We start from the raw sequence: 17077 nt of genomic DNA, 5'->3' as shown, positions 1-17077 counted from the left end.
ATTACAGGTGTGAACCACTATGCCTGGCCCCAGTAATTTTTATTGTAGGCAAAATGCTAAAGTCATAGGAGGAGATGACTGGTATCTCAGTTGGCAGAGCTATGATGACCTTTCAGACAAAATGGACTCATCAAAATGAATACTTCATATAAAACTAATAGTTAACTTCTAAAATCTAAGCTTCATTTTCTTAACCTCTATTGTGAAAAATTTCTACATGACCCCAAATTGGCAATGAGCCCAATAGGAGATAGATAGTATATAGGCAAGGATTTTTTTTGTCTACCACAACTTCATCTTTAAATTACATTGAATTTACCTTCCTTTTTCCACAAGAGGGAAACTTTGCAAAAACGCATAAGCATTTCCCCGTAAGGAGAGAAAAAACTTTCATGACATCGAAGTTTTTGGTTGTATATTTTTGCAGTGAAGACTATACTTTGCATTTGCTTCTTAAAGTGATTTAATATTTCACAGTTTAGTGGACAACTAAAGAGGCATTTAAATTGCATCTTTGAATAAGGCTAGCTCTATTTCATTGTGTCAGATGCAAACTAGAGATTTTAGTGCAAAATACAAATATAAAGCAGACATTTGTTTAAGCAAACAAGCAATTTGTTCATGTGTATATCTGATCCTTATTTGAAAGAGGTGCAGGCTTCGCTCAGCCATTCACATTTGAAAACTATAAACTGTCCCATTGTCCATTAAAATGACCCTATTGGCAGTCCAAGAGTTGGAACACCAGTTTCTTCTCTGAGAAGAAACAATGCTTGCATTAACTGTGGGAATGTGCTGACAGTGTAGCCACCACAGGAGCCCAAACTAAGTCATGACACGGGAAAGATAGTAGACAGATAAGGGTATTCTATTACCTTTATTCCAGTTTTCCTCCAGGAAAGTGCTTCATTGAACATTAGATGCCTGGGTAAGGCAGGTACCATCTTGCTGCACTACCTCAAATTATCTGACATTTATTTGAGAAGGAGTTTTACAAGACTACATCAGACTTTCAGGGTCTTTAATTCAACCTGAAAATGAAGGAATAAGCTAATTCCGATGTTTGCGTTTTCTTGCTAGAACAAAAACAAGTCCAGTTATTTTTTATCATTCTCAATAGTCTTTGGATCAGATATTTTCAAAGTTTGATATATGAAGAAAAAACTTTTTAAAATCAAGTTAAAATATGTTGCCAGAATTGCCTATGTTTGAGTTCAGCTTATATATAGGGGGAAAAAGAAGTCCCACTGCAAAACAGTACTTTCCCCCACCACCCCAATTGCAATGCTGTGATTGACTAGATTCCATTTTTTAATAAATGAGTCCTTGGGAAGAGAGTATTTAACTATCAATTTCCAAAGGACAGGACACCACACTGCTAATTAATTTACTTTGTAATTTATTGTGCTGTGGCACATACAACCCAAGTGGCATAAAAGCATTCCTCTTAGAGGTACTAGTGGGGCATTCGAATCAGAGCATGAAGAAAGCATTTTATATAAAAAGTTCAAGCACTGTCACATTAGGTTACCCAAACTTCACATTTTCTATCATTTATTTTTGTTCACTAGGAAAAGAAAGCTGTTTTGAGAGAATAATTCAAAGGTTTGGAAGAAAAGTGGTGTATGTTGTTATAGGAGATGGTGTAGAAGAAGAACAAGGAGCAAAAAAGGTGAGCATTCCTAGATGGTGCATCTTGTCTCATTTGTTTTTTCAGTCCTCAGTATTCTCATAACTGGATCATTTAAACAGGTTCCATTTATGTGAAACGTGATGAATATGTGCAGTACTCTAAGCACTGAACAGGGTAAAGTAGAATTCAATAAATATGGAGTGATCTTTCTGAATAGTAGTGTGCACAAACTCAAGGGCCACAAGTGGTGTTCATAGAAGGTAGAATTTGGGAGCAGAACTGAAGTGTTGTTAGTGGTGTAGCTGTCATCCAGAGCAGAGATAACACATGTGCCAGCAGGACCTTTTCTGTACCCATGGCAGACATGCCAGGTGGTTCAAACCTTGTTACCTGAGCCTGGACGCAGCCTAAGAACCTTTCAAACATCCTTCAGAAAGCCTCTATCAGTTGGTCAAAGCTGACTTGGAAGATAAAACTATCTGCTGCCCCAGAAGACTCGATGTCTTCTTCATATCATGAGGTCCTACCTGTCTCTCTCAGGGCAGGGGGAAGGGAGTGGACCCAACTATAAATCTCTTGACTCCCGCTTTGCCCATTGCTGTTCATTATATTCTTCTGAATCTCTGCAGGTGTAATTCTATCATTTCTCTGAGCAAAAGCTTTCTCATTGGGCCTCTCATTGCATTTTTAAAAGCCAAGGACCACCTTCCTTAGCCTGGCACTGAGGGTCTCCACAGTCTGGTTACAGCCTGCCTTTCTGATCTGTCTCCCTCCTGTACCTTACACTGTAGTTGTGTCAGTCCACTCAGCTTTCCTTGACCATGCCCCACAGCTTTTCCTTCCTGTTGTGTCTCCTTGGAATCTTTTCCCTAATACCATTCCGTCATTGTCTTATTCATTTGCAAAATTTAATTCATGTACTACCTTTTCTGTTATGCTTTTAAGAGATCAATTATAATCATGCTCCCTTATATTTTAACTGAAGGAGCTGTAGTGATAAATAGCTTGGATTCTTGAGCCAGACAGCATGAGTTTGAATTATGACCCTGCCACTTACCCTTCCTGTGACTTTGAACAAGTTCTTAACCCTCTGTTTCCCTTTCCTTGTCTATAAATGGGGATAGTAATAGCACTTAGCTCATTGGGCTAGTTTGAGGATTAGATATAGTAAAGATATATAATTCCCATAATATAGATATGTGTAAAGTGTACAACAAATGGTAGCTATTGTTATTGTTTATGTGCCTGTTTCAGCAAAGAAATGTGAGCTTCACAGATTCAGGGATCTTACTTTGCTTGGTTTGTTGAGACTGTCTTCAGATTTTTTTATAACTCCCTAAATCTTGTCATAGTTGTACTCTGTAAATGTTTCTTGAATTGAAGAACAATTAAATATTTTATGGGATTAACCAACAGCATAATTTTCCATTCCCTTCCTTACACACTCCCTCATAGGAATCCATGTATATTTCCATAAATGATACAATATCTCAGCCCTTCTGGAATATTTCAGCATATACCAGAAACAGCATGTAAGGTCACCAGATTACAGATGCAGCACTGAGCCTAAGTATGATACATGGCCAGCCTTCCTACAGGCTCTGAAGATGGCCTAGTTTACCTTCAGTGCCTCTGAGTTCCACTAAAATCATAATCACTGACCCTAATTTTAAACTAGATAATTTCATGAATACCCATAAATACAGAATGTATCCCAGTCACAAACCTGCGTGAGTCTGGTTGGTGCTGGTAGAAACCCACACGTGACTTCAGGTCTCCTCATGCTCAATGTGAAGCAGCATTTGCCATTTAAGCAGTAGTTCTAATCTTCCCACTTCACCGACGACCAACCACTAGTGTCATTGGGTGCCTCTGTTACCTCTCTGGGCTGTCTTTATAAAATAAAACCTTTCCCAGCCTAAGTCAGAATCCTCAAAACACAATCCTGGAGAGTTGAAGAGAATGTTTTCTGACATCCAGACTCAAGTCTTCTTTCTAGGAAAGCCTCTGGCATTCCCAAGCCATTCCTATTCAGGACCCTCCTAGTGGCCAGCAGGGCAGGGATGGAACAGATTTGTACCTCTGACCAGTATGGCCCTAGGCCAAGGTGTGAAGCCATCTCCAGGCTGGTCCTTCTCCCTCTGGTATCTACCAGAAAGTTTAATATCAAAAATTGCTAAAATGTGGCTTTCTAGCTTGTGGTAGGCAGAGAGGGATGTTTATGAAAGTGATTACTTAAAATGCAGGGAACACAAGTGAAATCCTTTGGATCTTATCAAGGTTTCTGTGAGTGAGTCCCTTCCTAAACCTTTCTGATAAGTACAATTCTTAGAAGTTTGACTTCAGTGAACACAACATGGAAAAAAACAAAGGAATTCTTGGTTTCAGGTTAGAATTGAAAGTATTGATAGGGCTAGAGTATTTGCTGTCTTTGAAGAGCAGTTAAGATTTTTTTTTCTTTTTTTTATTATACTTTAAGTTCTAGGGTACATGTGCACAATGTGCAGGTTTGATACATAGGTATACATGTGCCATGTTGGTTTGCTGCATCCGTCAACTCATCATTACATTAGGCAAATGCTGACACTTCCTGGTAGATTCTAATCCTGACAGCTTTGACAAATGGGTGCTCAATACATTTTGTTGGTAGAGCGGACATGAAAACTTTATGTATTTCTGATGTAATAAAAGGTTTTAGTTAAAAGATTTTAGTTAATTTTTATACTGGAAATAGGCTGAGGTTCGTTTTTGGTTTTTTGTTTTATTTGAGAAAGAGTCTCCGTCACCCAGGCTGGAGTGCAGTAGCGCGATCTCGGCTCACTGCAACCTCCTCCTCCTAGGTTCAAGTGATTCTCCTGCCTCAGTCTCCTAAGTAGCTGGGATTACAGGCATGTGCCACGATGCCTGGCTAATTTTTGTATTTTTAGTAGAGACGGGGTTTCACCAGTTAGCCAGACTGGTCTCAATCTCCTGACCCCAAGTGATCCACTCGCCTCTGCCTCCCAAAGTGCTGGGATTACAGGCATGAGCCACTGTGCCCGGCCAGTTTTAGTTAATTTTTATACTGGAAACAGGCTGAGGTTCATAATTTTTAAATCTATAGACAGTTCCTAAATGTTTGCCTCACTGATTCATAGTCTTTAGAGGGTTTCCAATTACTTCCATGTATATTATAAAGTTTTAATACTAATTTAATACACATAGAATGTTGGTGATAACAGTAGGAACAACCCAATAAAACACTTAAAATTCAAATGCTGGTACAATTCATTTACAACAGTACCAAAGAATAAATTATAAGGTGTACAAAACTATTCTATTACAATTATTTGGAAAATCCTTCTTTGTACAAAAGTATTCTATTACAATTATTTGGAAAATCCTTTTTTTTTTAACCTTCTTTCCTAGATCACTCTGATAATAAACTCTGATATTTGTGTTTTCTCAACAACCAATCAGCAATTACAGAATAAAATTAAATATAGAATGGCTTAAAAAAAGATTGTTTCCACTGTTTATCTTTGGACATGTCTTTTTTTTAATATAGGGCACACACAAAAAAGAAATTAGGCAGCCACCTGCAGAAAACATACTGAATTTTTTGACCAAATGAGTCCTCCTAGCTTTCCATTTTTATTTCATGGATGACTGTACGTGACAAGAGTCCAAAAATATCTGCTGCAAACCACTCTTTGTACCTTGAGAACTGCCTGTGTGGATGTGTAAAATGGACAAATTTTTCACAATATCTCGATTTCTAATAATCTTGCAAAAGATTCAGACGTCATCAATTTACAACAAGTTGAACATTCCTTTCTTATTTTCTAACTTTATTGAAGGAGAATTTTTGTCTAGCCTTTTCAAGTTAACTAGTATATAAATAGTCGTCTTTGTATATGAGTTAAGAGACAAGGATCTAATCATTCACAAAAGATAATGAGTATCTTTAAAGTGGAGTGCTGCACAGAAGTAGAGAATACTTAATATTTAACCTATGGGAAATAATTTAGGAGGAGGAGCCCTCTACAGTTCAACAACATCTCATTTTTAAAACTACATATGAAAACTCAAGCTAAAGAAACTAAGAGATGGCTTTCTATGCTGTAGGATTAATCATAATATTAGTAAGTAACAAAAATTGCTACCAAGGCAGGCTCACACTTGTAATCCCAGCACTTTGAGAGGCCAAGGTGTGTGGATCACTTCAGCTCAGGAGTTTGAGACCAGTTGGGGCAACATGGCAAAACCCTGTCTTTATAAAAGATATAAAAATTACCCGGGCGTGGTGGTGGGTGCCTGTAGTCCCAGCTACTCAGGAGGCTGAAGTCGGAGGATCACTGGAGCCCAGGAGGTCAAGACTGCAGTTAGCCGAACTCATGCCACTGCACTCCAGCTGGGATGATAGAATGAGATCCTGTCCCAAAGAAAAAAAATGCTACCAATTATAAAGCCCTTATTATATCCCAGTCCCTCTTTTAGGCCTTCCCATCCATTTTTCTCATTAAATCCTCATAATCCTATGAAGGAATCCTTAGACCTATTTTACACTTGAGAAAACTGAGGCACTGTAAGGGTGAATAATTCGGCCAAAATCACACAGCTAGAAAGTAGCTAAATTAGGATTTGAACTCAGGTATTTCCTCTGACTGTGAGATTTAGTGAAAAGTTTCTGCAGTCGGAGAGTGGTGGCTCACACTTGTAATCCCAGCACTTTGGGAGGCTGAGACAGGTGGCTCACTTGAGCCCAGGAGTTTGAGGCCAGCCTGGGCAACATGGTGAAACCCGTCTCTACAAAAAGTACAAAAATTAGCCCAGCATAGTGGTGCTGCCTGTAGTCCTAAGCTACTGGAGAGGCTGAGGTGTGAGGATCACCTGAGCCTCAGAGGTCAAAGCTACAGTGAGCTGTGATGATGGCACCACTGCACTCCAGCCTGGGTGACAGAGTAAGACCCTGTTTAAAAAAAAAAAAGTTTCTTCAAACTATAAACTACATTTATATATCTTAAATATGACTTGACTTACAAAAAAGAATTTACATGGTTTTTCAAAAAATTATTAGAGTAAAATGCAATTCTTCTTTCTTTTCAGGAGTTAGATATAACTATATAAGTGTCTTCTTTCCCCTAATTTTACATTCATAATTAAAATTTTTAAAACACATAATTCTGATATGTGCTTTAGCTCCTGAGCAATTTAGTTTATTAAATAAATTAATAGCAAACCAATGAAGTTCTGCACATTTGAGCACTAAAATGTTTTGCCAAATCAAAACATTTTACATTGCTTCGAAATTGATTTTAACTATTTAGCTTGTCTCTCTTAGTTTCCTGTGTCCTTCAAAATCTAATACAACATGCTCTTCTTTCCCTTGTAGAGATCTGTCATCTCCTTAAATAATGTTCTTTTGCTAGAGATTGTTACTTTTTTTAAATCACAGAAACAAAACCCAGTAAGTAAATCTGCCAGTTGCCTCTTTCGTTAATGGTCAATTGAAATCTATTCTGTCATCCTTATTCTCTTTGCCAATGTAGTCCAAGGGCTTTCATCAGTAATTTAACTCTATAATTTGCATCATAAAAAGTACCTCCTTCAAAGAGAAGAAGTTAGAAATACCTTTGTTTCGTAAAAGAACAACCTCATATTGAAAGGATCTCTTGCAGGAGTTTGTGTGAGTGCCTCTTTGTTCTTAGAAAGATTGTGGGAAGTCTCTACCTATGGAAGTCTTCCTTTGACGTATGTCTTTTGTTGTCAAAATCCACCAGTTGTTCTTTTTTTACCATAAAATTATTTGTTTCCCTAATGCAACATGGCTTGAGAGAAAATGATTAGACCTAGGTATGATTGTTTAAAAAAAAAAATGTAGGAAATAGTCTCCTGTACATTGACATCTAGTTTTCATTTCTAGAGTAGTAAAAGTGGCCTTGTTAATAAATTATTTTCAGAGAACTATTTAAAATAAATCTCTTGTTTATGGCAAAGGGAGAAAAAATGGCAAGCATCCATTTTCTGCACAGTGAGAAAGGCGTCATTAAATATGTTCATTTTATATGTACATTCTAAAACTTGCTGAAATCCAAGATGAAGCCGAGAACCTGATTAATAATGCCCAATTTCAAGCTTATTTAGGAGAAAAATACAAGCCACTTTTATAAAATAACATTTGTAAAGCACTTTTTTGTTTTTAGTTTAAGTGGGACATCAAGGTTATAAACACCAAGTACAGTGAATGTTATTTTTGTAAAGTCATAAATTCATTTATAGTTAATCACTTACTATATGCCAGGTTTTGAACTGGATTTCATCGTCATCCTTAAAAAGCATACTTATGTCTAGAGGGCAAGCAGATATATAAATAAAAGAGCAACGTTGCACAATAAGTTTCATAATAAGTTCTCCCTTGATATCTTTCTTTACAATTTGAAAAGTATTTGTAATTCCATCTGCAAAACTTTCTAAATGTTATATGTGCACATGAAAGCACAAATAAGTATTTTTTTACACAAATGAGAAGTATACACTTTTTTTCATACCTGCTTTTTCAGTTAATTCATCCTGGCAGTTATTCTATATCAGTCCATGAAGCTTTGCATCTCTAATGCTTTTAAGTGACTGCATCGGTATTCCATCATGTGGATGTGCTATTTAACCAGTCCTCTGGGGTGAACATTTAGATGGTTTCCAGTATTTACTACTGCAAACAGTTCTGCAGTTCATGCATGTGCAAGTGCATCTGTAGGATAAATTCCTAAAACTGCAATAATTAAGTCAGAGGGTATATGCTTTAAAAACTTTGAAACATTGTAATTAACACATTTTTAATAATTCAGCAAAATTCTGCTTACATATATGTATCCACATACCCAGCTTTTTATATGGTTGTTGTTATATGTAGTCTAAAAGTATAAATGCTAAATATCAGATGAGGAAGGATGGAGGAAGGAGATTTTTGAAGTTGCTCCAGGAGGCAAGAAAAACAGGAAGGATGTGTCATTGTTTTCCCATCAGGCAAAATTTTGGTTCTGGAGACACAAAAGCATGTGCTAATTTTAGGCCTTGATACCTACTTCTCTCAATATATGCCTAATCTTGATAAACGAATCACATGCATGTTGCAGTTCCAGCTGTCATTTCTGTTAAGATTTGTGGGTAGCTCTGTTTTTGGTCCCAGGGCTTCAGCAACCTGAGAAAATATCTCTGGGTAAATATCCCATGTTCTACCCATCTGAATGTCTGAATACAAGCAAATGAATTCAGCTATCCCAAACCAGTTGGCCCACTCAGACATGATTTGGGGTTCTTTGATTCCCACCCACCGCTGAGTCACATGAACTCTCTTCACAATATGTCTTGCATCTATTACACCCACTCCATTTCCACTGTAATTCTACCTAGTTTCTCTGCTACCAGCCAGAAACATCTTTGGTCCATCCTTCCCGACTGCTGCCCTAAATTGCTTAAAATGCCCCCACCTATTTGTGTCTCTTGGCACTGAGGAAGTGTTAGCCTCTCGCTCCTTCCATTTACAAGACAAAAGTCTAAACTCCTTAGTTAGATATTCCAAGTGCTGCTACCTTGACAAACCTCCTTAACATCTCTACGATTTTACACACCAGTCCAGCCCCATCCTCCACAGGCCAATTACTCCTCCTAACTGGGAACCCTATCCACTTCCCTTCCACCTCTCCAACTTCACCCATTCTTCAAATTCAGCTCAAGCTCAGTTTACCCTCTCCAGGTTACAACTGAGCTCTCTTCTCTCTGAATTTGTCTTTTTAATTCTTCATCCCTCATTGCCTTACACTGTAATAAAATTGTTTCATCAGTTATATCTTGCCTGCTGGTCAGCTCTTGGCATTGGGGATATATGTCTTTTGTGTATTACGTATCTACTGTAGCTACGGTGCTATGCAGGTAACAGACTTTGTTTTGATAATAAAGTCACAGACTTTCTTTGACCTAGAAGCAACCCTGAGTCATTTTCCCTAAACGCTCATGTTATAAAGAAACTAGGGCTTCAGGCAGACTGTGCCATAATTGAAGGTCACATAGCTAATGTCAAAGTTGAGAATATAACCCAGGTCTCCTCATTCTAGCATGTGTTTTTCTTTTTCTCTTTTGCCACCATTTCTCTCCGATTTCATACAAGAAATGTTTGTTCTAGTGGCTAAACATTGATGCAAGAGAAAAAAAAGTTTACTTTGTATCCAGTTGTCCTGAGAAGCTTTTATAAATGCATAAAATCTTCACATCAGTACGTACTTAGGGAAAATATTATCATTGTGCAATATTAGCTCTGATTGTTAACAGGAGTTTGACACCTCCTCTCCTCTAGACTGTCTTCTTATAGTCATTCACTTAATACAAAATGTGCATTTCTTAAAGAAGTCTACTATTTTTGTGAGAATGAAACTGCTAACTACAGCCGACATCACTACCCTGCATGCCATGAAAGAATGCAGAGGATAGAGTTGCTATCCTTGTGGGTGGAGTGTCCCCAGAATCTACCAGTTTTCTTTCATGTACACCTAAGATTTGCAAAGTTTTCATTGTAGAACCTTTGGCTCTTCTGCCCAAATGAATGGCCCATCCCCACTGCATTGTGATGAGTTGTCTGTAATATACTACAGGAAGTTTTATCCTTTGACCTCGTTTCTGGGTGCTGCTTGACCAGGTGGTTCTTATTAATACTCTGTACAGGAAGACTAAAGCCATTCGTATTTTAGTGCCAGTAAACAAGCCAACTTAGGGTTGTTTGCAGATTATCTCACCTTTCCCGATAGTGTTGAGTATGGTTTAAAAGAAAAACATGTGTTCTGTAGGCGGCATCAACCCACACACATGTACAGATGAGACACACAGCCATTGAACCAGTCCTTTGTTTACTATGAAATTAAATGCCCACTTTATACTTTATGTACCAAAGAAGTAGCTGGATTTTTTTTTTTTAGTTCCCTTTTTGATTTCTCTGAGAGTCATGGCATTCTTCAGTGCAGGATTCTGATTGCACCAATAGTTTTCAGATTTGCATTGTTAATGGTTGTAACTTGTCTGTGGGGAACATATGGAACCTCAGACAATTGACATGCAAAAGAATTTGACTGAACCTGCTCTGAAAAAAGGCATTCCACTTTGCACAAGTATTTTTGTATGTTTTTATGAAGATGGTTGTCCTAAAAGTTTCTAGATGGATTATCTGAAGAGCTTTCAGCATCCTTTGTTACATTCTGAGATAATAGTACTTAAGATCAATAGAAATACTATCTAACCCCTTTAGCTGTTGACAAGAAACTTTGAGGAAGGGCAATAATGATTGGCAAACCTAATAAGAAAAACAATTAGAAATAAAGAGAATATAAAAATAGATACCAAGTAGGTGGTTAAATAGCAACACTGCACAGTTGAATACTTGAAAACTTTTAAAATAGTTTTCTTTTAAAATGTGTCTAAAATGTAAAATGAATTTGAGATTAAGTAGTAAAATGAGTAGGATGCTGAATGGAACATACTTGATAAACACATAATTTCAAGTATGTTTGAGTATGTACATATATAAAAATATAAAGAAATGTTTATAGTGGTGACCTTTGTGTAGTAGGATAAGAAATGATTTGTATTTCTTTATAGGGTTCTATATTTTACAACATGAATTTCTGTTCTAATGAGGAGGAAAGCTATAGGATCAAACGTTTTTCTAACCCAGGTCTATGAATCTTCTGGTGTCTCTTAGCCCACAGAGAATGCACGGGGGCAGAGAGAGAGAGAGTTAGTTTGAACCTGTGCTATGGTGCTGATAATTTACACAGCTGAATAAAAAGCCTACAGAGAACAGGTAGGAGGCATTACAGTATATGAGCTTCAGAGTCACACCTGGTATATGGATCTTGGCTTCACTCCTTACCAGCTATTTATTTAAACCTCTGTGTTTCATCACTAAGCCTCAGGTTGTTTTTTTTTTTCTTTTTTTTTTAACTAGTACAATAGTAATAGTAGTACCTCTGTCTCTTTGAGGTGCTTAGCATAGTGCCTAACACAATATCCAATAAATCATAACTATTGGGATTTATGAATTAGGAGTTTATTACAAATAAACTCCTTAGCAGGGCTTACTAGGCCCTGCATCAGCTGGCTCCTGCAGCCACTCATGTCACCAGCCAAGTCTTTTCTCTCATACCCATCTAGTATGCCAACAATGAATTTCTCCATTATTTTCTGTCCCGCAATGCACATAACCATCAGAGTGTTTTTCTGAATGTTAATCTTTCATAACTAGTTTTCTGTCCTGCAATGCACATAACCATCAGAGTGTTTTTCTGAATGTTAATCCTTCATAACTAGTTCAGCTATCACCTCCCTTCAGATATTTTCCCAGTTCACTAGGCAAAGGTAATTGCCCACCTCCTACAAGATATAAATGAACACTGATGATTGTTGTGCATGTTTGCTACTCAAAATAGGGTAGGCAGCGACACATGCATCTCTATATCTTCTACACCTGACACAGTGTGCTCTGTATGAATGAATGCACAATGCTACGTCTTACAGTGTGAAGTTTCCAAGAGGAGCATCCTTCTAGAAATCTACAAAGAAATATTTAGTACTAATTTCTGGACTATTCTGTTATCACTCAATAACATATATACAGATACACCAAAATAGTCTTGAGTCCAGAAAGGTCTACATATTGGAATGTGGTATGTGATTTCAACAGATAATCTGAGGCAAATACATTGTTAATAAGTAATAGTTTGTATCCCAGTATGTAGCAGCTATGTGATCTACATATCAAAATAGTCATGGCTTTCACTGTCACCTACACATTTAAAAAACAAAAACAAAAACCCTCATTTCTCTTTGCTTCTATGCCAGATTCTCCTATTAGTCTGAAATTTTTCCAAATTTCTCAGAACTATAATTGCAAATTATACTCCAGGCACCACATTATTTTTTTGCTTAAGAATCCTATTCTATAAGGTAAACAAACAGAATTTTGTTCTCCTGAGGGTGATGATTATCTTTCCCTTAAAAAGGTTTTGCTCATGCATTAGTACTTACTATAGTGCTTTGGAGCAGTGAAAGTTCATCACATTTTCACCCTTCATGGATGATGTAACTTCTGAGTTCTTCCCCTTGGTTTATTCACGTGTATCACAAACATTCCCACTTCTTAAACTAGATTTTTAGATTGAGGTTTAAATAACAACAACTGCAAAAACCTAAAACAAAACAAAAAAAACAACGTTAGATGTTCATTTAAAACGTTTTCCATATGGTAAAGCCATTTTAAGGTCAATATGAAGAATAACTGAGGGAAATAAATGGAAAAAAAACTGCTTCATATGTGAGCCACAATTAAAAGTTAGAAAAAATGTAAACTACTACTAACTAAGGAAAACTGCTTAAACTCATAAAGTACAAGCTTTTTAAACTTTCAGCATGAAAAACCCACTGGATACGTGAACAGCTGCCATATTTGGCAACGTTCTTTTATTTAAAGCTTGGAATTGGCATTCAAGTCACAGTGTAGATCCAGTTAGGAAATATCCATCCCCTTCTTCAAAGAAACAGACTCTAGATTACATTTTACAACTCAGTCCAGTATTCTTAGGGGAGGATTGAGTTTGAATTTTTGTTTTAAACAGATGTGATGTTAAGATGTTAGCTGGCATTTCAATGATACTGAAAATGGGGGTCAGCATGGGAGTGGATTTCCAAAAAAGCTGGCAGGGCTGGCGCTGGGTGCTCTGTCCTCACATGTATGTGTGCCTCTGCTGCAGCACGCGATGCCCTTCTGGAGGATCTCCAGCCACTCGGACCTCATGGCCCTGCACCATGCCTTGGAACTGGAGTACCTGTAACAGCGCTCGGCACTTTGACAGCGCACAGCTGCTCTGTGACCAGGGACAGATCCAGCAGGCCCCAGTCTCGCATCAGCGCCGGCCTCCAGAACTTAGCAATTTCCGCCTGGTGATGCGCAGTTGCTGTCAGTCTTGACCTCTGCCTTTGTGGTGAATGGAGGACCACGTCTATTTCATCAGAACAGCTGTTGACTCTAGTACTGTGAATCCAGTGAAAATAAGCCATGAGAATGTTTTAGCACAGCGTTATGTGTCTGCCACATTAACTACACGGTTCAAACCTGTGAAGAAAGGACCTGCAAACGCTTCAGTTGTTAGCATTTTCAATGTGATATAAACAGCTTCTCCAATACAGCAAACCTAATTGCACAACAGAGACTGAAATGTGTTTCCTGAATACCAGTGGAGGAATTTTCTTGTAAAGAAGGTTTACTTTTTGGTGTCTCATACCCAGGGTAATCTGTACATCTCTACTTATTTATGAACAGACTTTTTTTAAAAAGATAAAAAAACAGCTTTATTGAGGTATAATTCACCCACCAGACTTTTTTAAACATCAAATAATTGAAGAGACAATAGCATTAGAAATAAGTGATTAAAGGCCTCTGCCTCACAACATGGCAAGTACAGTACTTTGAATTTTAGCACATTGCATAGTAGTTTTAAGTATGTCTAATTTAAACGTATAATATGTACATCACTGAGACAATCATGTACAGAAAGAATTTTTGGTGTAAATTTGTAATAATGGATAATTCTTTTACATATTGTTTAGGGAAATGATATTGAAAGGTAGCAATGCCTGGATAGTGAAGCATGAGGCAGCACGTGCACAAATTCATGTGCCGTGCCTTATCTGAGTTTTCGGTATAAATATGTAGATAATGGATTTTTTTTTTTTAGATAATGTTGTCAAGACCAAAAGCATGGATGTCAAGTGTCAGTAAGGATTTTGTTTTCTAAAATTTTTTCCTGCATCAGTTCTTCTGAGGGCCTTGATGAAATAACACAGCAGTTTCTTAAACAATTTGAAACAAAATGAGCTCTCCTACCACCTCACTTTTTCATTTCCACACTAATGTATTATATGTAACTACTTGGAAAAAATAATTATTCAAATGCTTCTTCCCACAAAGAATATAGATGATAGTAGATATATTTTATTAATAAAATGGTTCATGAATCGGAGACTAACAAAGTTTTCATGTGCTCAGAATTATTAATTATCGTGTCTGCATTTTCTTTCGATAAAGGAAGACACACGATGCTAATCCGGAAATCAGCAAACTTTGCATTACTCCCTATGTGCGTATTTTCTCTTTCTTCCTGTCACCCTGAGGAAGGTTCATTGCCATTGTCATCACCATGGAAACAACGTTCCTCTCCACCTGCATTATGTACTACATGACAGGCATCAATCTGGGGAAATAATAAAATTATCACCTTTGTCAGACCATAAGAGTTTCTCCAAAAGTGGTCAGTTTGGCTGGGCAATATTTTCTCTCATCTAACAAACACAATCCATTGTCATGAAATTACCCTTAGGATGAGTCTTCTTTAATCAATCATATATTGGGCGGGAAAAACACCAGCTTTGACCCGAAGTAGTTGAAGAGCTACTTCATTCTTTTCTGAAGTTGTGTGTTGCTGCTAGAAATAGTCATTTGTGAATTATCCAAATTGTTTAAATTCACAATTGAATTAGTTTTTTCTTCCTTTTTGCTTGAAGCAAACAGTTGACAATTTTTAACCTTTTCATTTTATGTTTTTGTACTCTGCAGACTGAAAAGACAAAGTTTATCTTGGCCTTACTGTATAAAGGTGTGCTGTGTCCACCGTTGTGTACAGAATTTTTCTTCATTAATTTTGTGTTTAAGTTAATAAAATTTATTTGTGATGTACTGTAAGCTCCCTGACTGTCGGGATCATCTTTTTCTCTTGGTTATATGAAATAGCAGGATCTTGGTTACATTAGGACACCCAAAGTCCAACAAAAGGAAGTTGTATGAAGTAACTGCAGTGATGGCTTTATCAGTCCTTTAGGGGACTGAACTTGCAGGGTAACAGCTGTTTCTTTGATCACTGTAAGTACTGATGAATGGAAAAGTTCTTCACTTCTCCAAAAATTACATAAACTAGACCCTTACTCAAATTTACCTACTGTAGAACATAATTCAGCATAAAGTGTCTTGGATTGCAGAGCACAGATTTAGCCACTTATATACCCAAGGGACAACACTATAAAGCAGTTTCATCAATAAAGAATGCCCACAACAGATACCTCTATGATTTGGTCAGATTAATCATTCACAGAGAGCTATAAAACAGCACAACTGGCTTCCTCCTGAGAATTTAATCTTAGAAACACACATTCATACATGAAAACACATGAAAATCAAACATGCACTGCCTCACCCATTTGTCAGGCCCCTGAAGTGTATTTTTCATACACACACACCAGGTCAAGTGGCCTGAATCATGAGGTGCCTGAGCATGCCCCGACACCCCAAGAATGAAAAGACTTTGGGGAAAATCTTAAAGAGAGACAGTGGTGGGGAGTAAAGGGGTTTTTAGGGCTTAAATTAAGCATAAAAAATAGGCCAAATGGAGGGCATACCCAGAAGATGAGTTTTCTATAAAGCACCACCTCTAACATGACAACTGCTGGTCAAAATTTTTAGTGGCTCCTCTTTGATCATGGATTTAGGGCTCAGATTTCTCCCCTTGGCATTCTAGAGCCTCCAAACACAGTCTCTACTTTCTTCCCAGCATTCTCTCTCATTATTGAAATTAGCAGATCATCAGTACACTAGGCTAACATACTAAGCTCCTTAATGCATCAAACAGCTCTCAAGCATCTCTGCCTCATCTTTGTCCAAAGCATTCTCATTTCCCACAATGACTTCCTTCACCCTATCCTCAATCCACCCAAATCATGTCCAGCTCAAGTTCTTCCTCCTCTACAGACTTTTTTTTCCCTACCATGGTGAAGCAGCTTCATTCATCATCTCGCACCAAGAAGATTAAGGACACAGACACACAGGAGCGGGTTTAGGAGTGGAGGTTTAATAGGGAAAAGAAAGAAAAAGAAAAAGGAGGACAGCTCTCTCCCTTGCCCACAGATTGGTTGGACCAGCTGTGACATTCACATAGCACGTGGGGAAGGCTGGCCGCCCTACCCTAATGTTATGCAAATGGGCTTTCCACTTGGCCAGCCCATCTTGTTTGCTCCTTACTGTACACATGGCTGGCAAAGAGAAGGGAATATGGAGCCACCATTTTGAACATGCCTAGTCCTAGGTAGCCATTTTCTATTGACACAACTGCTGGCACTCACCTGTGCAAGCTTCCAGCTTGCTTGTTTATGTCTGCAGCTCAATTTTACAGGCTACTCTTACTTAGAAAAGAAAATTATTTTGGGGCTGCTTTTCATTAAAAGGAAAACCTTACCAAGGACTCTTCTACCCTCACTATCTGCCTAAATGATTTTTTCCTAACTCCGGTATCAATGGCATGCAGTGTTAGCTCCTTCTCTTCTCTCCCTCTGTCTATGCCTTTATTGGAAGTCCATATTTCATTCAATAAAGAC

General features: G+C 37.7%; 1 protein-coding gene and 1 long non-coding RNA gene across 30 annotated transcripts in view, besides 1 other annotated feature; one reads left to right on the top strand and one right to left on the bottom strand.

Annotated features, from left to right (window-relative positions):
• EYA1 (EYA transcriptional coactivator and phosphatase 1) overlaps positions 1–15395 on the top strand; it is a 350662-nt gene extending 335267 nt beyond the window's left edge. For all 27 annotated transcript variants that reach the window (XM_047421528.1, NM_001370336.1, XM_011517484.4 and 24 more), the window contains 2 exons: positions 1572–1672; positions 13408–15395. In XM_047421528.1, the coding sequence (XP_047277484.1) occupies positions 1572–1672; positions 13408–13488 (182 nt within the window). In that variant the 3' untranslated portion in view covers positions 13489–15395. The remainder of the gene's footprint in view (positions 1–1571; positions 1673–13407) is intronic.
• LOC105375894 (uncharacterized) lies at positions 1655–13688 on the bottom strand. 3 transcript variants are annotated; one of them, XR_007060958.1, is made up of 3 exons: positions 13483–13688; positions 12686–12846; positions 1655–6047 (listed from the first exon to the last, which is right to left on the bottom strand). It is a non-coding gene; the product is annotated as an uncharacterized LOC105375894 (long non-coding RNA). The 3 variants fall into 3 exon arrangements; XR_007060959.1 differs by having other exon boundaries at positions 6011–6047; positions 8164–12846; XR_001745954.2 differs by lacking the exon at positions 1655–6047 and adding an exon at positions 7831–8652.
• Positions 6924–7546: an enhancer, noted in NCBI's record as "OCT4-NANOG hESC enhancer chr8:72117517-72118139 (GRCh37/hg19 assembly coordinates)". NCBI's record gives its function as "activates a minimal SCP1, AML or CMV promoter by ChIP-STARR-seq in naive H9 embryonic stem cells {active_cell/tissue: H9 hESC(naive)}" and the evidence as "EXISTENCE:reporter gene assay evidence [ECO:0000049][PMID:30033119]".

The sequence above is a fragment of the Homo sapiens genome, chromosome 8 (assembly GCF_000001405.40).
Source record: "Homo sapiens chromosome 8, GRCh38.p14 Primary Assembly".
Classification (NCBI taxonomy): Eukaryota; Metazoa; Chordata; class Mammalia; order Primates; family Hominidae; genus Homo; species Homo sapiens.
Note: the sequence above shows the minus strand (reverse complement) of the source record. Positions and strands in the feature narration are given on the sequence as shown.